General features: G+C 39.0%; 2 protein-coding genes and 1 pseudogene across 17 annotated transcripts in view; 1 reads left to right on the top strand and 2 right to left on the bottom strand.

Annotated features, from left to right (window-relative positions):
* CHD1L (chromodomain helicase DNA binding protein 1 like) overlaps window positions 1-25,634 on the top strand; it is a 123,016-nt gene that overhangs the window by 16,689 nt on the left and 80,693 nt on the right. The window lies entirely within an intron of this gene.
* FMO5 (flavin containing dimethylaniline monoxygenase 5) overlaps window positions 1-25,634 on the bottom strand; it is a 42,980-nt gene that overhangs the window by 5,131 nt on the left and 12,215 nt on the right. For 10 of the 16 annotated variants that reach the window (NM_001144829.3, XM_005272947.6, XM_017000802.3 and 7 more), the window contains 5 exons: window positions 23,873-24,035; window positions 22,958-23,100; window positions 19,417-19,616; window positions 11,717-12,069; window positions 742-814 (listed from right to left, as the gene is read on the bottom strand). In NM_001144829.3, coding sequence (NP_001138301.1) covers window positions 742-814; window positions 11,717-12,069; window positions 19,417-19,616; window positions 22,958-23,100; window positions 23,873-24,035 — 932 coding nt within the window. Of the gene's footprint in view, window positions 1-741; window positions 815-11,716; window positions 12,070-13,640; window positions 15,575-19,416; window positions 19,617-22,957; window positions 23,101-23,872; window positions 24,036-25,634 lie in introns of those variants that run through there. The other 6 variants (XM_047416285.1, XM_047416274.1, XM_047416292.1 and 3 more) reach the window with 2 other exon arrangements.
* Window positions 13,689-15,549, bottom strand: CCT8P1 (chaperonin containing TCP1 subunit 8 pseudogene 1; annotated as a pseudogene).

Genomic DNA, 25,634 nt, shown 5'->3' on the forward strand with positions numbered 1-25,634 from the left:
AAAAACTTACTTTCTCCTCCTCCCACACAAAGGAAAGTTATGCAAGTATCATCAGTTGAAGATAACCACCTCTTTAGGCCTGGAATGATTGTGTCTCTCAGTTTTCCACAGAAATTTAGAGACTTACCATCAATTTCCACTTTGTCCAAATAAAAAACACCCAGCGATTGAGCTTAAGTTCTGAAATTCAGACTGCTAAATGATTGTGTTCATCAAAACACTAAGCAGCTGGCTGTTACCATGTTCCCAACTCACAGTGACTATTCATACCATGAGCCACTGTGACTTGAGTGTGCTGTCACATGAGCATTGCCAGCAAAGCGGCCACTGCAGACTTGTAAATCTACCTACAGATTTGTAATTCACCCATAGCTACCTCTCATTCATTTACTGTCACTCTTCCTTCCTCTGGCAAGTCTACTAGCACTTCAAGTAATCCTCACAAAAATAATATACCTTCTGCCTTCTGATTTTATTTCCATATGCATTTTCCTATGTGACTTTTTTTAGGCATTAAACATATGATTTTAGACACCTAAAACTTTTCTCTCTTTTCTTACCCATATTTAGACTACTAGTGCTATTTCTCCATTCTATTGTCACAAATTATTTTTCCTTTTTTCTTCATAATAGAATCTAAATCCTTAAGCTAACATGAGGCAGTTAAATACAGTACAATATTTCTTTTATTAAGAAATAAGTAGAAATGTAACCATATATCTTCCTGGGAGAGTTTCTTACCTTTTGTCAATTTCCTCTTGAGCTTTAGATATTTCTGCCATCATTTCACTCTGTGAGGGCAATGTCTTTAGACCTAAAAACAAAAATTAACATTTTAACTGTAAAATTACCTCAGAAGGAACAATAATCCTATAAACAATTACTATGCTATGGAGAATTCAAAGAAATACAGGGTAAGTTTCCTGTACTCAAGGAGGTTACAATTCACTTGATCACCTTACCACCACCACAATATAATATTAACATCTGCAGCTTACTCTACTTATTCTTCTTTGTCTTTGGAAGGGATTTCCCCTACTCTGACTTCCAACCAATACCTGCCTCCTCCCTAATGTAGTCTTTCAGTTGGGAAATGAAATATGGACATGAGAAAATGGACTTAAAGGTATATGGAAAATTAGTTACAAAGTTAAAGGGCAGGGGAGTGGGAAAACACAGCTGCACCTGTATTCTTGATAACAAAGGGACCTTATATCAACAGAAAGAGAATGAAGTAAAAATAAATTTTTTGTTTTTATTATTATACCTTAAGTTTTAGGGTACATGTGCACAATGTGCAGGTTTGTTACATACGTATACATGTGCCATGCTGGTGTGCAGCACCCATTAACTCGTCATTTAGCATTAGGTATATCTCGTAATGCTATCCCTCCCCACTACCCCCACCCCACAACAGTCCCTGGAGTGTGATGTTCCCCTTCCTGTGTCCATCTGTTCTGATTGTTCAATTCCCACCTATGAGTGAGAACATGCGGTGTTTGGTTTTTTCTCCTTGTGATAGTTTGCTGAGAATGATGGTTTCCAGTTTAATCCATGTCCCTACAAAGGACATGAACTCTTCATTTTTTATGGCTGCATAATATTCCATGGTGTATATGTGCCACATTTTCTTAATCCAGTCTATCGTTGTTGGACATTTGGCTTGGTTCCAAGACTTTGCTATTGTGAATAGTGCCGCAATAAACATACGTGTGCATGTGTCTTTATAGCAGCATGATTTATAATCCTTTGGGTATATACCCAGTAATGGGATGGTTGGGTCAAATGGTACTTCCAGTTCTAGATTCCTGAGGAATCGCCACAGTGACTTCCACAATGGTTGAACTAGTTTACAGTCCCACCAACAGTGTAAAAGTGTTCCTATTTCTCCACATCCTCTCCAGCACCTGTTGTTTCCTGACTTTTTAATGATCGCCATTCTAACTGGTGTGAGATGGTATCCCATTGTGGTTTTGATTTGCATTTCTCTGATGGCCAGCGATGATGAGAATTTTTTCATGTATTTTTTGGCTGCATAAATGTCTTCTTTTGAGAAGTGTCTGTTCATATCCTTTGCCCACTTTTTGATGGGGTTGTTTGTTTTTTTCTTATAAACTTGTTTGAGTTCATTGTAGATTCTGGATATTAGCCCTTTGTCAGATGAGTAGGTTGTGAAAATTTTTTCCCATTTTCTTGGTTGCCTGTTCACTCTGATGGTAGTTTCTTTAGTCCATCTTGAATTGATTTTTGTATAAGGTGTAAGGAAGGGATCCAGTTTCAGCTTTCTACATATGGCTAGCCAGTTTTCCCAGCACCATTTATTAAATAGGGAATCCTTTCCCCATTTCTTGTTTTTGTCAGGTTTGTCAAAGATCAGATGGTTGTAGACATGCGGCATTATTTCTGAGGGCTCTGTCCTGTTCCATTGATCTATATCTCCCTTTTGGTACCAGTACCATGCTGTTTTGGTTACTGTAGCCTTGTAGTATAGTTTGAAGTCAGGTAGCGTGATGCCTCCAGCTTTGTTCTTTTGGCTTAGGATTGACTTGGTGATGCGGGCTCTTTTTTGGTTCCATATGAACTTTAAAATAGTTTTTTCCAATTCTGTGAAGAAAGTCATTGGTCACTTGATGCGGATGGCATTTAATCTATAAATTACCTTGGGCAGTATGGCCATTTTCACGATATTGATTCTTCCTACCCATGAGCATGGAATGTTCTTCCATTTCTTTGTATCCTCTTTTATTTCATTGAGCAGTGGTTTGTATTTCTCCTTGAAGAGGTCCTTCACATCCCTTGTAAGTTGGATTCCTAGGTATTTTATTCTCTTTGAAGCAATTGTGAATGGGAGTTCACTCATGATTTGGCTCTCTGTTTGTCTGTTGTTGGTGTATAAGACTGCTTGTGATTTTTGTACATTGATTTTGTATCCTGAGACTTTGCTGAAGTTGCTCATCAGCTTAAGGAGATTTTGGGCTGAGACAATGGGGTTTTCTAGATATACAATCATGTCGTCTGCAAACAGGGACAATTTGACTTCCTCTTTTCCTAATCGAATACCCTTTATTTCCTTCTCCTGCCTAATTGCCCTGGCCAGAATATCCAACACTCTGTTGAATAGGAGTGGTGAGAGAGGGCATCCCTATCTTGTGCCAGTTTTCAAAGGGAATGCTTCCAGTTTTTGCCCATTCAGTATGATATTGGCTGTGGGTTTGTCATAGGTAGCTCTTATTATTTTCAGATACATCCCATCGATACCTAATTTATTGAGAGTTTTTAGCATGAAGTGTTGTTGAATTCTGTCAAAGGCCTTTTCTGCATCTATTGAGATAATCATGTGGTTTTTGTCATTGGTTCTGTTTATATGCTGGATTACATTTATTGATTTGTGTATGTTGAACCAGCCTTGCATCCCAGGGATGAAGCCCACTTGATCATGGCAGATAAGCTTTTTGATGAGCTGCTGGATTCAGTTTGCCAGTATTTTATTGAGGATTTTTGCATCAATGTTCATCAAGGATATTGGTCTAAAATTCTTTTTTGTTGTGTCTCTGCCAGGCTTTGGTATCAGGATGATGCTGGCCTCATAAAATGAGTTAGGGAAGATTCCTTCTTTTTCTATTGATTGGAATAGTTTCAGAAGGAATGGTACCAGCTCCTCTTTGTACCTCTGGTAGAATTCGGCTGTGAATCCATCTGGTCCTGGACTCTTTTTGGTTGGTAAGCTATTGATTATTGCCACAATTTCAGAGCCTGTTATTGGTCTATTCAGAGATTCAGCTTCTTCCTGGTTTAGTCTTGGGAGGGTGTATGTGTTGAGGAATTTATCCGTTTCTTCTAGATTTTCTAGTTTATTTGTGTAGAGGTGTTTATAGTATTCTCTGATGGTAGTTTGTATTTCTGTGGGATCGGTGGTGATATCCCCTTTATCATTTTTACTGCATCTATTTGATTCTTCTCTTTTCTTCTTTATTAGTCTTGCTAGCAGTTTATCAATTTTGTTGATCCTTTCAAAAAACCAGCTCCTGGATTCATTAATTTTTTGAAGGGTTTTTTGTGACTTAATTTCCTTCAGTTCTGCTCTGATTTTAGTTATTTCTTGCCTTCTTCTAGCTTTTGAATGTGTTTGCTCTTGCTTTTCTAGTTCTTTTAATTGTGATGTTAGGGTGTCAATTTTGGATCTTTCCTGCTTTCTCTTGTGGGCATTTAGTGCTATAAATTTCCCTCTACACACTGCTTTAAATGTGTTCCAGAGATTCTGGTATGTTGTGTCTTTGTTCCCATTGGTTTCAAAGAACATCTTTATTTCTGCTTTCGTTTCGTTATGTACCCAGTAGTCATTCAGGAGCAGGTTGTTCAGTTTCCATGTAGTTGAGTGGTTTTGAGTGAGTTTTTTAGTCCTGAGTTCTAGTTTCATTGCACTGTGGTCTGAGAGACAGTTTGTTATAATTTCTGTTCTTTTACATTTGCTGAGGAGTGCTTTACTTCCAACTATGTGATCAATTTTGCAATAGGTGTGGTGTGGTGCTGAAAAAAATGTATATTCCGTTGATTTGGGGTGGAGAGTTCTGTAGATGTCTATTAGGTCTGCTTGGTGCAGAGCTGAGTTCAATTCCTGGGTATCCTTGTTAACCTTCTGTCTCGTTGATCTGTCTAATGTTGACAGTGGGGTGTTAAAGTCTCCCATTATTATTGCGTGGGAGTCTAAGTCTCTTTGTAGGTCACTAAGGACTTGCTTTATGAATCTGGGTGCTCCTGCATTGGGTGCATATATATTTAGGATAGTTAGGTCTTCTTGTTGAATTGATCCCTTTACCATTATTTAATGGCCTTCTTTGTCTCTTTAGATCTTTGCTGGTTTAAAGTCTGTTTTATCAGAGACTAGGATTGCAACCCCTGCCTTTTTTTGTTTTCGATTTGCTTGGTAGATCTTCCTCCATCCCTTTATTTTGAGCCTATGTGTGTCTCTGCACATGAGATGGGTTTCCTGAATACAGCACACTGTTGGGTCTTGACTCTTTATCCAATTTGCCAGTCTGTGTATTTTAATTGGAGCATTTAGCCCATTTACATTTAAAGTTAATATTGTTATGTGTGAATTTGGTTCTGTGATTATGATGTTAGCTGGTTATTTTGCTTGTTAGTTGATGCAGTTTCTTCCTAGCCTTGACAGTCTTTACATTTTGGCATGTTTTTGCAGTGGCTGGTACCGGTTGTTCCTTTCCATGTTTAGTGCTTCCTTCAGGAGCTCTTTTAGAGCAGGCCTGGTGGTCACAAAATCTCTCAGCATTTGCTTGTCTGTAAAGTATTTTATGTCTCCTTCACTTATGAAGCTTAGTTTGGCTGGATATGAAATTCTGGGTTGAAAATTCTTTTCTTTAAGAATGTTGAATATTGGCCCCCACTCTCTTCTGGCTTGTAGAGTTACTGCCGAGAGATCTGCTGTTAGTCTGATGGGCTTCCCTTTGTGGGTAACCCGACCTTTCTCTCTGGCTGCCCTTAACATTTTTTCCTTCATTTCAACTTTGGTGAATCTGACAATTATGTGTCTTGGAGTTGCTCTTCTTGAGGAGTATCTTTGTGGCGTTCTCTGTATTTCCTGAATCTGAATGTTGGCCTGCCTTGCTAGATTGGGGAAGTTCTCCTGGATAATATCCTGCAGAGTGTTTTCCAACTTGGTTCCATTCTCCCCGTCACTTTCAGGTTCACCAATCCGACGTAGATTTGGTCTTTTCACATAGTCCCATATTCCTTGGATGCTTTGTTCGTTTCTTTTTATTCTTTTTTCTCTAAACTTCCCTTCTCACTTCATTTCATTCCTTTCATCTTCCATCACTGATATCCTACCAAACCCAAATAATTTTTTTTTGTAGTTTTAGTAGAGACGAGGTTTCACCATATTGGTCAGGCTGGTCTCGAACTCCTGACCTCAGATGATCCACCCGTCTCTGCATCCCAAGGTGCTGGGATTACAGGCATGAGCCACCATGCCCAGCCAAAATAAATCTTAATCACATTTTATGCCTAAAGTCCTGTGGAAGATAAGCTTCATTTTCTAAACATGTTTCTTTGATAAGAGTAGGGGTTAAGGCCAAGGGGAACTCATAATACCTAATATTAACTGATAAATTTAAGTAAGATGCACAAACAGTTCCAGTTGTAGGAATTATACACCAAGGACAGGGCTAGACTAAGGCTTAATAGTATTTAAGCCAGTATGAACAATGCTAAGCTTAAACAATTAGTTGTATGCCCCTATAACTAGGGACTATGCCATGTAGAAGATTTTGGCCACATCCAGTCCTAAGGTGTCACTCCATAAAATTGTGGAATATGGAATTTCAGAATGGCAATATATTTTACCTGATACAAGCATTCTTTCTACAAGTACTCTAACCTAGTGGTTATCTCATTCCTCTTTAAACATCACTGGTGATGGGTATCTATAATAATTATATCTGAGGTGATTATATAATTATTTGACTGCTCTGGCTGCTGGAACATTATTGTTTTTATTGACCCCAAGATCTGACTCTTTGCATTTGCACCACTGGACCAAGCTCTGCTTTCTGGAGCCACAGAGTTTAATGTTAATACATGACAGCTCTTGAAACATTTGGAAATGATTGTCATAACTCCTTTAAGTCTTCTCATTATCAGGCTAAACAGTACATGTTTCCCATATAATGGTTTTCACATTCTCTGCCATCTTGGTTGCCCTTCACTAAGCATACTCTAATAACTATCCTGGTGTATCCCTCTTAAAATATGGAACTCAGAAGTTCATCACTCTCAAATAGCCTTCTGTTGTTTTCCATGTGTTTTTACATTTTAGCCATGGGAATTATTATTTATCATCATAAATCAATTAGGAAACACTGAAATGCTTCATTTAAGCTTAATCATAGGTCTCTTCGGATACTCAAAATAAGCGTTTTGAGAGTCAATTTCCAAATTACTTCTACACAACCACAAGTTTTACTTCTATTAGCTAGAAACATGAAGGAGGAGGTATATTTCTTGATTGTGGGAGACACCCAATTCATAAAAGAAAGAAAAAAACAACAAAAAACCCTATCTATTACCCTATCTGTCTATATATAGATAGATAAAGAGGTATATACATCTTAGTCTAGAGCTCATGGGGTGAAAAAATTTAAAAAAATTAAAAAATTTTAAAAAGATGTATACATCTTTTTACGTGTATACTCTGTGGTACAGTTATGTCTTAATTCATAAATTTTGTTTTTGCAGTGTTTCCTTATTTAGACACATTAGCTTTACCATATTTCTTATCTCCCTCCATGTCTTTGCTCCCTGTCTTAGTTTCCCAATTCCAATGAATGGCCTCAACACCTGAACAGATTCTTTTCTGTCTCTCTTCTCCAACATGCTTTCTGTCACCAAATTCTTCAGATTTGCCTGTGAAATTTCATTTAAGTCTGGCTCCTCCAATTCCTTTAGAGTGTCATTACCTTGGTTTAAAGCTCTCATGCTGTCTTACTGAGACTTTTACCACAGGCTCGTACTGACCTATTTCCCATTTCACTCCTCTCTAACATATCTTCTAAACTGGAGATCTGATTTGACTCCTCTTCCAGTTAAAATCCTTCAGTGGTTCTCCAACTTGTACCTTAAATGCAAACTCTTGATATTGCCTGTGAATATTTCTAGTTTCATTTTCCTTCATTCCTATAACACTTTACCAGCATTCTGAACTACTTGCAGTTCCCAGAACTCTATTTGTTCTGTCACTTTCATCTAACTTTGCATAAACAGTAGTGATTATTTCCCCTCTATGGTCAATATTTCCTTGTCCTTTTAGTAAATTCCTATGTAGTTGTAGGGAGAATTGGGTACTTATTGCCCACTGCTCTCATGGCAGCTCTTCTGCATTGCTACTGGAGCACTTGTTTAGGATATAGTTAAATATCTGCTGAATGAACAAATCATTAAGCGTCTGTTTACTTGTCTGTCTTTGATATGGTTTGGCTGTGTCCCCACCCAAATCTTATCTTGAATTTTGGGTCCCACAATCCCCATGTGTCATGGGAGGGGCCTGGTGGGAGGTGATTTAATCATGGGGTGGTTACTCTCATACTGCTCATGCTGTTCTCATGATACTGAGTGAGTTCTCACGAGATCTGATGGTTTTATACGGGGCTTTCCCTTTCACTCAGCACTCATTCTCTCTCCTGCCACCCTGTGAAGAAGTTCCTTCTGCCATGATTGTAAGTTTCCTGAGGCCTCCCCAGCCATGCAGAACTGTGAGTGAATTAAACCTCTTTCCTTTAGAAACTACTCAGCCTCAGGCAGTTCTTTATAGCAGCATGAGAATGGGCTAACACAGTCTTCCTTGCTTGGCTCTGCATTCCAGAAAGATAGGGATTTTCTGTATGGTCATATTTGCTTCTCCAGCCCCTAGCAGAAGGCCTGGTACATACTAAAAGGTCAGTATATGTTATCTGAAGAATGTTGAAGAACAGTGAGGAACTGAAGTTCAGAGATCTTCCAAGGGTTCCAAGACAAGGTGGGAAGGAAGAGAGTCTGAATTAGAGTTCTGTGGTGGTAGGCCTTCAGTCTGCTGTCAGCCTAAAGCAGGTTGTATCTGTGTAATCCTGACTTGCTCCTGCATATTTCAGTGTATAGCTAATGTTATGAGAGAAAAGAGATCTGGCTCCCATTCTGCAATTTCAGTCCAGTTCAGGCTTTTAACATAACTGGAAATTGGCTAAGGTAGCCCATAAGCTGAGATCCTCAAATAAGAAGTTTCTACATCAGAATTTAGAATTTAATTTACCTCAAGGCTAAACTGACATTTCTTAGAATAGATGTTTATTAGATACCTCTTATGTGCTAGGCAGTGGTCTAGGCTTGCAATACAAAGGCAAATAAACATGAGTCCTTTACTTAAGGAGCTATCACTATATTACAAAGGGAGGGAAGAAATATGCATAGACTTTTCCTATAGAAATAAAAAGTAAAAGGAGGGCATATCAAGAAGAAAGCACAGTGGAAGCAAAAGCACAGGGTACAAGGGTACCTGCTGTGTTTGCTGCTTAGTGGGTACGTCATCCAGTGCATCTAGAGTATTGTAGGAAGTATGGTAAAGACTAGTGAAAGATGGGCCTGAGGCCGGGTACAGTGACTCATGCCTGTAATCCCAGCACTTTGGGAGGCTGAGGCAGGCGGATCACGAGGTCAAGAGATGGAGACCATCCTGGCTAACATGGTGAAACCCCGTCTGTATTAAAAACACAAAAAAACTAGCCGGGCATGGTGGCGGGCGCCTGTAGTCCCAGCTACTGGGGAGGCTGAGGCAGTAGAATGGCCTGAACCCAGAAGGTGGAACTTGCAGTGGGCCGAGATAGCGCCACTGCACTCCAGCCTGGGCGACAGAGCGAGACTGCATCTCAAAAAAAAAAAAAAAAAAAAAAAAAGAAAGAAAGATGGGCCTGAAATTGGAGGTTGTATCCAATTTGTGGAGGAACTTTAATGCCAGCCTATGACATAATGACTTCTTGTGATCCAGAGATTTGGTGTAACTTGATATAGTTTTGAAGGAAAGAAAGTTGCTGAGTGAAAATAAAACACTTGCAAGGGCTGCAAAAGACGCAATCAAAACAGAAACTATGTTTCATTTCAGTCAAGGCAAGGAAGTAAATTCAGTGTTCTAGAAAAGAGTAGAATATTTTCTTGACAAGAGAACAATAATTCCAGAGAACAGAAGAAGAAGGAAAATGGGGCTTGGTAGGGAACAGACAAGGAAGGAGGCAGGCTTTGTTGGGCAGACATGAAAAAAATGGGAAAAACAAGCTAATCCAAAGGGTTTAAAATTGGCATAGTGAAGGGATAATTCAGGGAAGAGAAAGGCAAGAATGTGGGAGGCAGACAGATTGGCCATGGACAGAATAAAAAACCCAGAGTTCCTGTTGGAAGTCTGGTAAAGTTAGAGAATTCTGAAGATTTCTTCCTTCCAGGTGTTAGAAAAAAGCTGGAGGAATTAGCACTAGGCTTCTGCTAGCATAGGAAGCTGGGCTTTTTGTACATTTTCCCTAAGATCCCATAATCTCATAACCATAATGCAGACTCTTGCAAATACTCATTTTCTCTATTTCCTCTCAAGAATTCACTTGGTCTTGGAAAAGAGTCCCAGTTGCTTAAAGTATACTAAGATGCTGTGGCCTGTTTTAATGAACTGTTCTCCGCTTATGTAATTGACCCAATTAAAAGATCACTTTAATATGACTAGAATTAGGCCAACTTAATGGGCTATTTGCGTTTGACTACTTGTATAGTTCTCTCAGGTAGTACATAATCTGCTGGATAGGACTGGAAGTAATAGAAATTTGGGGAAATTTAGAAAGGTTGTTGAACTATCAACTGTAATACCATTGGTTCTTTTTTTCTCTGCAACTGTGAAGATTTTCACTAGTGAAAACAAAAAAGGTGTAATTCCAACAGGAACTCTGAGTAGTTTTAATTAAATGCTAGTAACAATAGCAAATTTTGTTATAACAACCATAGAATCAGTGAATTTCTTCTTTAGAAGGACCCTTAAACATCATCTTGTTTCTCTCTATCCTGAGGCTTGAATCTACTCCATACCTTCCCCCTCTCCTGCCCCGGCCCAGTGAGCATTCAGTCATTTGGCATCCTTTTCCTTTTCTGCTTAGAATTTCAGAGGCAGCTGGTTCCATCATGAAATGGCATTGGCTGATAGGAAAAAGGTTTTGGATTTTTTTCTTAATGGTAAGCTGATGTGTAACCCTCAAGATTTCACTCCTTGATTCTGGTTTGACCCTTTGAAGCTATACTGAGTAAATCTAATCCTTCTTCCATGTGCCTTCCCTTCAGATATTTGAAGGAAATTCTCATATCTCTCCTGAAGTTTATCTTCTCCAGGCTAAATCTCTCTCCGGCTTTTTCAGTTGTACTTCAGATGGCATGTTTTCAAATCCCTTAAAAAATTTTTCTCTCTCTCCTTATTAAACGCACTCCAGCTTCACTTTTAAAATGTATCATTAGGTGTGGTCTGGCCAGTTTAGAGAACAACAGTTGTAATGTTCTAGAACATTATAGTTTTTTAATGATGCTAGATTTAATTATTTCTTTGGAAGCTATATCATTCTACTGACTCATATGAAACCTATTCCCCTTTTTTTTTCATATATTCCTAGCCAAAACTGAAAGAGGGGACATAAAAGGAGAAAAGTGAGAATTTGGGGGATTGAATATCCTACAATATTGACTAGTCTGCAACCAGGTCTTAATTTTCGGCCGAAATAAAGTCATACTATTTCTATATTTTATTTTTATCTATAATGAAAGAAGATAAAACTATTTTACTTCAGAAATATATGCCAGTTGCCTAAAATCTAGATGAGTAAATTCTAATTTGGAGTACACATTGGAATTACTGGGGAATATTTTTCTCAAAGATGTTATGACTGCCCCACCCCAGACTAACTAAATAAGCATCAGCAAGGATGGTGTCAAAGCATGCATAGCTTGGAAAAATTTCCCAGGTATGATGTATGTCCATGGTTATAAATTGCTACTTTAGATTCACTCAAAAATATATTTTTCTGTACTAACTTTGTGCTAGGCACTGTTGTAATCATACATGCTATCTCTAGCTATTTAAAAACAAGTACCTAAACAGAGGTAAACATATCACCAAGTAATTAAGTAGTCTATTTGCATGGTCACTTACCTTTAAATACCTGAGTGGCCCAGCGTCCTTGGAGCTCTGAAATGGGCATAATGGCTCCTAAGGGCTGAATCAAGCCTATGATTGCAAGAGTTGGCCTTTCCAGGTTAGGAGGGAAGACCTTTTTATACAGGGATATCTTGTTTTTGACCACTTTGACGGAATCTTCCAGAAATGGAAAGTCAAAGCTATAGCCTGTGGCAAAGATAACAGCATCAATGTCATCCTCCCTGGAGCCATCCTCAAATATGGCAGCTGTCTCCGTGAATTCCTTCACATTTCCTTTCACTTTCACCAAGCCAGAAATGATACGATTTGGCAGGTCATCATTTAAGGTTGGATGCTGACTCAGAGCTCTGTGAGTCGTGACAAAGATCAAGTGGAGAAATGAGAGAAAGAGAAATCAGTACCACATAAGTAAAATTTTGCTTTGGTGGAGGTAAACAGGATGCCAATAATCTTCCCCTTGGTCTATGCATGAAGTTTGGAAAAGGTCTAATTTATACTAGGTTGGCACAGATCAAGATCAGATCTGAAGTTGGACCCTGGATGCACTGAAAGGGAGAGTGTTGGAGGAGTGAAGGAAGAGTGTTGTTTGAGGAGTGCATATATGATTTCTCAAGTAACAATAATATTCTGTGTGTGATATGATAAGGCCACAGGTCAATAGTTTGTATTCTCATACCAAGAAGTCTGACAGAACTAAGCTGTCAACATTCTGTTCAGTCTCATTTCCAGTTTCAAAGGCTCAAGAGCTAAGTTTAGGCCACTGTTTTCCAAACTGTATGATAAATTACATGTATGTAGCAATTTACAGTTTATAAGTTGCTTTTACATGCATTAACTTGACTCTCACAAAACTCTATGAAGGAAGCAGAATAGGTGTCATTATCCAGGTTTTATAAATGAGGGAATTGAGGCCTAGAAAAGTTATGTGACTTGTCCAATGATACACAGCCTAGGATTTTAGAATTTATCTCAAAGTTGTTTTCAGTGAATTATCTTGGTATACTTCGGGCTTGTTATTGTTTCCTAGGGACAGCGTAGGATACGGATACTGGAAACATTGGGTTGGTGCAAAAGTAATTGCTTATTTTTTTGCCATTACTTTTAATAATAATAAGGCTGGTTTCTAGTATCGTGGAGCTTTCTAAAAAGCAGTTCTTTTTTTTTTTTTTTTTTTTTTTGAGACAGAGTCTCTACTTCTTTTGCCGAAGCTGGAGTGCAGTGGCATGATCTTGGCTCACTGCAACCTCCACCTCCCAGGTTCAAGTGATTCTGCTGTCTCAGCCTCCCGAGTAGCTTGGACTACAGGCACCTGCCACCATGCCTGGCTAATTTTTGTATTTTTAGTAGAGACAGGGTTTCACCATGTTGGCCAAGCTGGTCTCGAACTCCTGACCTCGTGATCCTCCCACTTCAGCCTCCCAAAGTGCTGGGATTACAGGCGTGAGCCACAGCACCTGGCCTAAAAAGTAGTCTTAATGCCTGAATACTATATTAACTCATCTTCAGACAGAGCTGTCCTGGCCTCAGGAATTTTATATGTTTAAATTACCACTACTGGTTTGTTGCATTTAGTTATGCTTTGACACTAGGTCGATTGTGTTCTGCATTCCAACCTCATGATTTCATCTTTTTCTCCAAACCTACTCCTTTTCACCAGCAGTACCACCATCCATCCATATAGTTGCCCAACCCACAAAACCATGAGTTATATATCTGGTCACCAAGCCTTTTCCCTTTCTCCTCTTAACATCCCCAAGATAGTTTTATCTACTCCTTGTTATCTCAACCAGATGATACAATTGTCTTTAGGACCTCCTGTCTCATCCCACTCCCACACCATTTTCAAAATGGTCTTTCTAAAATGTAGGTATGATTATGTTACTCACTTGCCTAAATCTTTGAATGGCTTTGGACTGTCTTCATTCCATACTTTTTATTTAGTAGACCAAAGGTTTCCTTTTTTTTTTTTGACAGTAACAATATGTTTATTATAACATCCAGCCAAGAATACAAACACAAAATACCTCTTAATGTAAGGAGAATAAGAAAACATCACGCGATTCTTAGAATACTACTACAAATACAGCCTTCACCTACAGTAAAAATTAAGCCAATTTCAATCATTTTGGTCATCATCCCAGTCTTTCTTCCCACTTGGAGGCTTGGGCCCACCATCTGGTTTTGCCATGATTACCTGACCCACTCTAAGTACAGTGACTGCAGCATTAGCAGCGAGTTTGATAGACCAGTGTTTTCCCAGGTAAGTATCTAGAACACCAGCTTCCAACATGTCCGTTACAGCAGGGACTACAGCCTCAGTATCTAATCCAACATTTTTATTTCCTTCTTGAGGTACTGCATAAAGTTTAGAGATTACTTCATTGGCCTTAACTCCAGAGTTTTCTCCAGAGTATTTCTGCCAGTGCACGGGGAATAGCTTCAAACGCCTCAGCAAACTTCTTAATAGCGTACTGTTCAAGTCCAGGACATGTCTCTCCATATGATGTGATCTGTTTGGCTAATTCAATTTCTGTTGCTCCACCTCTGGGTACAAGACGTTTATCCCTTGTAAGAACTTTGAAAGTATTAACACCATCATCTACTGCCCTTTCTATGTCATCCATCAGATTGTCTGTAGAGCCCCGAAGTACTATGGTAGAAATGATGCCATCTTCCTTTTCATGCTTAAAAACCACCACCTGAGTATCTCCAACTTCTGAGAGGTAAACACTGTCTCAGTGTCCCATTTCTTCAAGGACAGGAGGTGTCAATCTAGGAAGAGCTGTAGCACCAACTGTTTTACAGAGTCTTCGGACATCCCATTTTGAGTTTAGCTTCACTAACATCATATTATATTTGTTTGCATAATGAAGAGCCATGTCTGCCACTTTGCCACCTGTTACTACAACATTTGCACCAGTATCAGCAATAGCTTTGACTTATGCATCCATGAGATTTTCTTCTCCCTTACTTAAATTCATCAATTCTTCATCAGTCTTTATCAACACTGTTCCCTTAGTTTCTGTTATCATGCCATCAAAAGGACAAGAGTACACTGCTATTTTTGCATCTTTGACAGATGTACATCACCTTCTGTTTCCTTCTTAAAAACCATGCCATGCAATACTGAAGAGGAAGTGATACCACAGCCCAGAATTTTACAAACTCTGATGTTATCAACTTTGAAATGGCCAGAATCAGGAAAAATAGATACGCATGCCTGAACAATAAGCTTGGCCAGAAATACTTCATTACCATATTGTTTACACATTACAGAGGTACGAAGTAGAGATGAGACTTCATCAACATCTCGAAGGTTTTTTGCAGAACAACGTACCAAATTAGGAAGAATCTCATGAGCTTTTCTGCAAGCTATTTCATAACCTTCTATGACCTCTGAAACTGACAGGCCAATCCTCAGAAGTTCTTCAGCTAATTCCAGGAGAGCTCCGGCAAATACCAGAACAATGTTTGTGCCATCTCCAACTTCTTGCTCTTGCATATGAGAAGCCATTACAGTCATTTTTGCAGCAGGATGCTGTACTTCTAGTTCTCTTAAAATAGTCGCTGCATCATTTGTCACAAACAACTTCTCCAAGTGGTTGATAACCATTTTTTTCATTCCATTTCGTCCATATGCTGTACGAGTGGTTTGGGCAAGCTCCTTGCAAGCTTGTATGTTTCTATACACAGCCTCTTCTAATTCTGAAAAGTGTTTCGCTCCCTCCTTGAGCATCTGGGCGAAGCCCGGAGCCTTGGGAACTTGAAGCGCCATGGCCAGCCTGCAGGAAGCCGTTCACGTGACCGCTCAGAAGACCGCGGAGGAACCAAAGGTTTTCATGCCTGATGAACCTGGAGATACATTCAGTCACTCTTCCATCTTTGCTATATAGTCCAGCCATACCAGACTACATGCAAGTCCTGGAGCATAATGTATTTTTTGCTGTTCCAAGACTTTGTCTTTATAATTAGAATGCTATACCCTTGCTCTATTTGTTTGGCTATCTCCTATTATTCAACAAAGCCTCAATTTATTTTGCAACCACCAAAAACATGCATGCTAAAATAATTAGGTGAAAGGTTTTTAGGAAACACAGTTTCCAAATGTCACCCCACTGATTAACTTCAACGGGAAAAAATATCTTTATAGTGGAGAAACTTGATGGTATCTATACCACCTTATCTAAGTGGTCAAATTTAGCATTATTACTGTGAGATAAACTGACATAATGTGGTTCTTGATGTGACCCACTAAGATCAACATGTCCTATGTAGTATATGTGTCAAAAACATTTAACCTGAATATAATAAAGGAAAAAAATTATGCAAGTCTAAATTTAGAGACTCTCTACAAAACAATGCCTTGGGTTCTTAAAAAGAAAGCCCATGTCAAAGAGAGAATTATTTCTTATATAGACCAATGGAACAGAACAGAGCCCTCAGAAATAATACCACATATCTACAACTATTTGATCTTTGACAAACCTGACAAAAACAAGAAATGGGGAAAGGATTCCCTATTTAACAAATGGTGCTGGGAAAACTGGCTAGCCATATGTACAAAGCTGAAACTTGATCCCTTCCTTACACCTTATACAAAAATTAATTCAAAATGGATTAAAGACTTAAATGTTAGACCTAAAACCATAAAAACCCTAGAAGAAAACCTAGGCAATACCATTCAGGACATAGGCATGGGCAAGGACTTCATGTCTAAAACACCAAAAGCCATGGCAACAAAAGCCAAAATTGACAAATGGGATCTAATTAAACTAAAGAGCTTCTGCACAGCAAAAGAAACTACCATCAAAGTGAACAGGCAACCTATAAAATGGGAGAAAATTTTTGCAATCTACTCATCTGACAAAGGGCTAATATCCAGAATCTACAAAGAACTCATACAAATTTACAAGAAAAAAACAAACAACCCCATCAAAAAGTGGGTGAAGGATATGAACAGACACTTCTCAAAAGAAGACATTTATGCAGCCAACAGACACATGAAAAAATGCTCATCATCACTGGCCATCAGAGAAATGCAAATCAAAACCACAATGAGTTACCATCTCACACCAGTTAGAATGGCGATCATTAAAAAGTCAGGAAACAACAGGTGCTGGAGAGGATGTGGAGAAATAGGAACACTTTTACACTGTTGGTGGGACTGTAAACTAGTTCAACCATTGTGGAAGACAGTGTGGCGATTCCTCAAAAAGAACTAGAAATACCATTTGACCCAACCATCCCATTACTGGGTATATACCCAAAGGATTATAAATCATGATGCTATAAAGACACATGCACACGTATGTTTATTGCGGCACTATTCACAATAGCAAGGACTTGGAACCAACCCAAATGTCCAACAATGATAGACTGGATTAAGAAAATGTGGCACATATACACCATGGAATACTATGCAGCCATAAAAAATGATGAGTTCATGTCCTTTGTAGAGACATGGATGAAGCTAGAAACCATCATTCTCAGCAAACTATCGCAAGGACAAAAAACCAAACACTGCATGTTCTCACTCATAGGTGGGAACTGAACAATGAGAACACTTGGACACAGGAAGGGGAACATCACACACCAGGGCCTGTTGTGGGGTGGGAAGAGTGGGGAAGCATAGCATTAGGAGATATATCTGATGTAAATGACAAGTTAATGGATGTAAATGACAAGTTAATGGGTGCAGCACACCAACATGGCACATATATACATATATAACAAACCTGCACGTTGTGCACATGTACCCTAGAACTTAAAGTATAATAAAAATATATATATATAAAAAGAGAGATTAAAGAGACATGACAACTAAATGTAATGGTGTGATTGATTACCTGACAGGATACTAGATTTAAAAAGATTTTTTTAAAGCTATAAAAAATACTATTAGGGCAACTGGGGATATTGCCAATGTATTAATGTATTTTATCAATGTTAAATTTCCCACGTGTGATAATTATATGATGGTTATGTAGGAGAATGCCCTTTTTCTTATACAATATACACTGAAGTATTTAAAGTGTCTTAATGACTGCAACGTACTCAAATGGTTTCAGAAAAAAATGTACTTGTGTATGTATGCTCTATATGTATGGACCTATCTACAGAGATGGGGAAAGGAAGCAAATATAGCAAACTTAACAGGTGAATCCAGGTGAAGGATATATGGGTGCTCATTGTACTTATTATTTTGCAACTTTTCTGTAGATCTGAACATTTTCAAAAATAAAAAGTTGGAGGGAAAATAAATTTAAAATCAGCCTCTAGAAATGTTTTCCCTCCCTGGTTCTCTGAGGACCCCATCCTTTGTACTTTCATAACACTGTATGTATTTCTTCATTATAATCTGTCCTCTTTCTTCTCATTAGAGTATTTAAGGTAAGATCTATTTTTTGAGTCTGCCATTTATTATTTCTGTTGCCCTCGGGAAAATTACTTAGTTTCTCTACATCTCAGTTTTTATATTTGTAAAATGTAGATCAAAAATTGTGGAGGCCAAAGCAACTCCATCTTAGAAGTTAATCTACCATATTGACTTCTGATCAACCCTGGTTCCGGGAATACCTCTGAGATTTCCAGTTAATCTGTTGTTTAATAGTATGTACTTACTGTAAATCCCACCCTTAGGGCAAACTCCTACCCATTCGCTCTGAAGTATGTGTGCCCCTCCCCTGTGGTATATCATCCCTGGGTCAGGAGGTAATGGTATGGGGATCTACCATCTTGTCTCACCACTGCCTGAGACAGACATGGCTTCTGTTCATAAGTCCCTATGAAATGTTTCTAAGAAACTGAATCTGTCAGCTTCTTTCTTCAGCCTCTCAGCTTCCTCAGCCTTTGGGGTAGGTTTGCATAGACCTCCTCACTGTGAAACAAAAATAGTACCAACTTATAGGGCTATTGTCAGGATTAAGTGAGATACTGCATGTAACTCATTTAGCACTGTGCTTATCTTATAGAAAGTCCTCAGAAAGGTGAGTGTTATTTCTATTACTATTACTATTATGTCTTCTCTCTGTATTTCATGCCCATGTATGATGCCTGGCTCATAACAGGTACTCAATGAGTAAATGACGCACTGTCCTCAGCTATCATTTTGTTGTTGGGTATCATGCAAAAAGAACTGATACCTGGGGGAATGAGAAAAGGGTTACTGCCAAAGAGAATTCTAGATTAAAAACCCACAGACCAATAGATCTTGGACATCTGTGGGTACAAGTTAGAAATCTGATTTCAGATTCTATGAGTCTATAGGCTTTCTTTTCTTTTCTTTTCTTTTTTTTTTTTTCTTTTTGAGACAGAGTCTGTTGCCCAGGCTGGAGTGCAGTGGTGCAATCTCAGCTCACTGCAACCTCTGCCTCCAGGGCTCAGGTGATTCTCCTGCCTCAGCCTCCTGAATAGCTGGGACTACAGACAGGTGCCACCACACCTGGCTAATTTTGTGTTTTTAGTAGAGATGGGGTTTCACCGTGTTGGCCAGGATGGTCTCAAACTCCTGAGCTCAGGTGATCCACCCGCCTCCGCCTCCCAGAGTGCTGGGATTACAGGCGTGAGCCACCATGCCCAGCCACTGTGGGTTTTCTTAATGTATGGGTAGAGGTGGCTTTACTATTAGCCAGTGTGAAGAGTCCTTATTCTTGTGCTTTGGCCACTATCCCTGCACTCCCATCCTGGGAACATACCTGTGTTTAGGCTTCAGGCCAAACATTTCATGGTCAAACCTTTGGTTTATCTTTTTTTCCAAATATTTGTTTGCTAATGATTGGCCACAGATCTTCCATATAAAATGTGTAAGTCGAGAAGAGAACAACACATCAGCAGGATATCCGTAGTCCCCTACACGATTCAGGATCCAAGCCCCTCTCCTGGTGCTGAGGAAAACCTGGGGCATGGAAGAAATTGTTTGCTTTTGTCACTCAGATTCGTAAACCTTCAAAAGCACCCCCATTTTCTTCAAGAATCATTTCAGGCCCGGCGCGGTGGCTCACGCCTGTAATCCCAGCACTTTGGGAGGCCAAGGCGGGCGGATCACGAGGTCAGGAGATCGAGACCATCCTGGCTAACACAGTGAAACCCCGTCTCTACTGAAAAACCCCGTCTCTACTAAAAATACAAAAAATTAGCCAGGCGTGGTTGCAGGTGCCTGTAGTCCCAGCTACTCGGGAGGCTGAGGCAGGAGAATGGCGTCAACCTGGGAGGCGGAGCTTGCAGTGAGCCAAGATCGCACCACTGCACTCCAGCCTGGGCAACAGAGTGAGACTCCGTCTCAAAAAAAAAAAAAAAAAGAGTTCAAACTCATTAGTCTGGCTTTTTAGCCCCTGCACAATCTTTGTGGGTTTTTATGTTTGTTTCCTGCCATTTTCCTTCCCAAACACTAAACTTAGAATTAAATTGGTGTATCTACTGTCCAAGAATATGTTTTGCTCTAATACACCGTTGTATTTCTGTTTAGTGCTATTATGCCTGCCTGAAATGCCTTCTTTCCTCTTAACTCTGCGAAGCCTGTTCATTTTTAAGACCCAGATCAAGACTGCCTCCTCCATGAAGAAACCGCTGACTATTCAGGCTGACAATTTTCTCTCCATCCTCTGAATTTCTCTAGCACTTATCACCTGTAGAACTCATTAAAAATCATGTACTGGTAAAGTTGAAAGCAGCTGGAGACCATTTAATCTAAAACCCTCATTCTTTTGCCATTGACATTGTTGGCATTATTACAAAAACCCCTGCTATTTATCATTTTTATTGATATTAAACTTTCTACACTCCTAATTTCTGTCTCTTCAAATGTGTTTTCTCAAGGATAGGAGATAAAGCCTACACATCCACAGCAGATTATCATCACTTCCATTTATTGGGATTTGTGACCTTTAAGTCATTGTGCTAGGTCCTTCATCTATATTACAACAACCTCTTGAGGAAAGTATTATTACACCCATGTTATAGATGAGGGGCATGGAAAGGATGAATAACTTGCCTGAGATCACAGAGCTAGTAAGTGGCAGAGGTGAATTTCCAACCCAGGTCTGACTAACTCCAAAGCCTGTGCTTAAGAAATGTTTGATTGATTATTTAATGGAGAAAAATAAGATTGCTAGTGGAACAACAGGAAGCTAGTCAGTCTTTCTGTGTCCTCCTCTGGCTAAAGTTCATGTTCAGAACTGATAAAGATTTGATATGCAGTTACCTGGCAAAAGAATCACTTTTCCTACACTATGAAACTCTCTGGAGATGGCTTCCAGATTTTAAGTTATATACGCACATTGCTTCATAGTCTTTTTGTCTAAAATGACCTGTCTACAGAGGGATAATTGTTTACTTCACAAATCTTATCTCGCCTAAAGTGACTGTAAGCACTCTGATAATTATGTACTTCCACAGTCACAGTTGAAAGAGCATATATGGTCTTAGAAACTGAACAATTTTGTGTGCTGGCTATATAACTTCTGCTGAGTAATGAAAACGCTCAGAGCCCTAATGAAAAGATTTCCTATTTATGAAATAGTAATAATAATAATACATATATCACAAGGCTGTTGTGATAATTAAGCAGTGTTTTTGTAAAAGGTGTGGTATATAGTAAACACTTGATAAGTGCTTAATGGCTGTCATATTTCTTATTTCAGTTTTCCATCTATACCTTGTTTTAAGCAAATAACATTTACAAATCAGATTTATAAGGAAAATTGTTTAATCAGTGTAATCTTATATGAAATTAATATTGAAAAAAAGGAATGTTTTCTCTTTACAAAAGCATCTACAAGAATTATACGAAAAACTTCCATGATATACTGAAATATATAGGTCCATTTAAAGTTTTTGATTTATAAACAAATCATCATGAATACAATTTACAAGTAAAGTAAAAAGTTAGAACTCAGCAATTGAGTTTCTTCAGCTTGGATTAGTGGTGTGACAGTATTGCCTCTGCTATGCAGACATAGTTTTCCTTTGCATTTTCCCAGGCTTTCTCACAGACACAGCCACCTTATCTGTACCCACACAGAAATGCTTTGTTATGTGGCAACCTGCAATTCCCCAGAGCAGGTAAGGCCAAGCTCCCTTAGAACTGCCCATTTGACAAGCCAATGATATTAAAGATGGCTCTCGCCATGGGTCCCCACTCCACATTTTGCACATTCCTCTACCATAACACCCACATACGTTTTAACCCTTGTTTATATAATTATTTTAATTATTTTTAATCCTTGTTTATATGATTATTTCCTGATAAATGTCTGTTGAATTAATTTATGAAGTATCATATGAAATAATTTTTGTGGTTATAGATGAGGATAGCAATGAGAAGAAGTGTTTTTCAAACAAAGTTGCTGAGTAAGAGTCATTTAACAGAATTGTAGCACTAAGCTTCTAATTAAAATAAAACAATTTAAAACATCTTTATAGAGAAGCATGGCTTAATTAAAGTTACTAAAGAACAACCAAGACATTTACCTATTGCCAATAGAGTTTGATTCAACACAGACATTAATAACAAAATACAATATTGGCATGTCTTTTTCCAGGAATTTATAGTGAAGACACTTGCTTCTCAGTTCAAAGTCTGCTATACAAAAACCAAAACAAACAAAACAAAAAGCCAAGGAGATATAATTGCTTTAGAATGAATGTTATCTGAGTTACCTAACTGTATGCAAAGGCCAGGGCAAGCTGCTTGCATGTGCTACAGTTTGGACGCTATACGGATACCCACATTGTCTTTGGGAAGATAAAATTGATACTTTTTTCCATTTGGGGAGTGTAAAGGAAAATTCAAGCACCATCCTATGAGTGAAAAGTTTCCAATGATCACGCGTGCTTTCCTTTATGTAAGAACATAGCACTTCTGCTGGCCAATTGAAGATCCTCGCTCTCAATACTGCTTTCTAACAACCTCTCCCAGCAATTACTTTGTCTTTATCAAAGCCAGAGGCACACTCTGAGAAGATGCCTGATTAGGATAATGAGCCCAGACTTTAGCTGATCCAGTTCCTTGGTGTGAGGCTAGTTGCACAATGGAACTCTAACTGGTAGCCTTAACTCCTCTATTAGCACCAATCACCATGTTGCCAACTGAGGTAATGAAACGAAGCCCTATATTTGCCACTGGCACTGAAGGGCTATGTGCAGGTATCCCTATTCTCTGTTGGGTCCACCTGCAGCTTCCTTGGAGAAACTGAAGCTAGAGTTAAGCAACGTAAATAATAATTGAGTGATTCAAACCTGCTTGGCTGTTTGGCTAATCTCTACAGCCAGATCCCCTCCAGAATTCCCAATGCCAATTATAATGACTCTCTTTCCAGTGAATCCCTCTGGGTTCTTATAGTCTCGACTGTGGAAGTACTGCCCTTTGAACTTCTCAATTCCTGCAAGAGAAGGGAAAATAATTATTGGGTAATGGTTTACATGATAGATATCATTTGTCAAGTCATTTGTTTTTTTTGCAGACTTAAGTTTAAGCATATATTCTCCAAGTGTTCTCTTTACTCAGCTACTTTCTTGCCTTTCTCAGTATTTTTGCCTATTTTCTTTTCCCATAGCCTCAGAGTAGTACCTTGTGATTTCCTTGTCATATGTACTTTGCTTAACTCAGGATGTGTTTGTATTTTGGATTTAGAGATATAAATATAAACTGCCTCAGAAAACCTCCATTCTCTTTTATCTTTTCATCCCCTTAAATACCTACTCGCATTTCACTTACAGCACATATATTCTTATATACTTTAGAGTATAGAGTGCTTTTTTTTTTAAAATGAAAATCCAGGCCAAAGACTGAAATTCTTCAAGCTTTCATTCCTTCCTTAGAAACTCAATATTTGTGTTTACTGCTGAAAAATTCCTTATTCTACCTAATGCTCCTCAAGAACTCCACATTCTTCCCTTTGATACTCCAGTCATTTGATACAATGACTAAAGTCATTGTAAAACTAAATAGACTGCAAATTTTGCTCTAATCTCCAAAATTACAAAAATGGCAGTAATACAAGTTACCCCAACATCCTTCTGGGGAACAAGAATAATTAGGATAAGTCTTACTTCATTCCAAAGTAGGAATTACTCAGACCACAATCCTCCCATTCCTCAGGGGTCAGGTCACAGGCATGGGTCAAGGGTCTTCCTTCCTGGTAAGCTGCTCACCAGGGAAGCTTTCCAGAGGTAGATGAGCATTGGTGTGATGGCCAGTGCAAACCATGACTCCATCAAAGACATTCATCTCCTTTTTCCCTTCAGATTCAGTGACCACTTCCCATTGGCCTGAAGTGGCAAAATCAGGCTGCTTCTTCACACTGCACACAGTGGTCTGAAAAGAAAAGTGATAACCACAGGGGACATCCCTGACATGACTCTCCTTGCATAGTGTTACACAAAGGGCTGATATCACAGACACTATCACATAATAGGACCCATGCAGGGATATTTGATTTTCATACTCCACAAATAAGAACTGTTTGGGGCTGTAGTCAGAATGAGAAAATTTCCACAAGACAGAAAAAAATAACATAGTGTTGGCAGGCTAATGTACCCTCCTCTTCTAGAAAAGTGCAAGTCACCAGGTCTCTTGGTCCAGGTCCTAAGGCACTGTAACACCTGAGTAAAGCCTGGGCTTCTCCTGTGCTTTTATGACACTCCATGCACTAAATGCCTATTCTTCTCCTGACCCCTATATGTCCTGAGACCTTCTGATGTCTTCTTACCCTAGGTTCTCTTCTCCTGGCTACCTTTAAATAAGTGACTGAGCTATAGGGCTCCTTTTCCTGGTAGGGTAGAAAAACACCTCAGTGGCTCTCATTTTATATAAATGAATCTCCCTTTGGCTCCCATAAATACCCATTTTACAAAGAACTATAAAGAAAGAGGCTGTGAAACAGGATAGTGTTATGATTTTTAGCTTTATAAAAAATAATAAATATGGGTTACCCTACTTAGGTTAAGGAAACACTATGTGCTTCTACGGGCCCATGACCATAATGTCTTCATGGACTAATAGAGACACCATCCCGGCCGGGTGCGGTGGCTCACGCATGTAATCCCAGCACTTTGGGAGGCTGAGCCAGGTGAATCACCCGAGGTCAGGAGTTCAAAACTCACCTGGCCAACATGGCGAAACCCCGTCTCTACTACAAATACAAAAATTAGTGGGTGTGGTGGCACATGCTTGTAATCCCAGCTACTCGGGAGGCTGAGGCGGGAGAATTGCTTGAACTTGGGAGGTGGAGGTTGCAGTGAGCCGAGATCGTGTCACTGTACTCCAGCCTGGGCAACAGAGCAAGACTCTGTCTGAAAAAAAACAAAAAACAAAAAAAAAAAGAGAGACAAACCACCCCTGCATGCACTAGCAATCCAGCACTATTTATAGTTCCTCTATCATGTTCTTTTACACAGGCTGGTGCCTCTGCCGAGATCACCCTTTTATTCCTTATTTGGTAGACTCCTACTCATCCTTCAAGACTCAGCTTTAAGAAAACTTTATCTTCTTTAAGAAAACTTCCCTGGAACCTGATATTTCATGTCCTGATGGGTTCAACATCTTTCCTCCGAGCTGCAACGTATAGATCTCTAGCATTTGTCCCCATGTAACTCTCTATTTTTATTAATTATATTTATAATAAAATTTTTCTTCATTTTTATCCCCTTAACTAGACTATAAAGTTACTGATTTTTCTTTTTTGTCTTTGCATATTCAATGCTTAGTATGGTAGCAAACTTGTTCAATAAGTATTGTTTAAATAAATGAAGAGAAGCACCACTGGAATGTAAATGACTTACTTTAGAAGTTCACTAGATGTTTTCATTTTCTTATTGTCATTAAGCAGAAAAAGGCATGACTTAGCAGGATGATCAGAAGGCAGAAGGTTTGGGCTTTTTGCCAGCTGTCAGAAATATCTGACCATAAAATTCT

Source organism: Homo sapiens, chromosome 1, assembly GCF_000001405.40.
Source record: "Homo sapiens chromosome 1, GRCh38.p14 Primary Assembly".
In the NCBI taxonomy this organism is placed as follows: domain Eukaryota; kingdom Metazoa; phylum Chordata; class Mammalia; order Primates; family Hominidae; genus Homo; species Homo sapiens.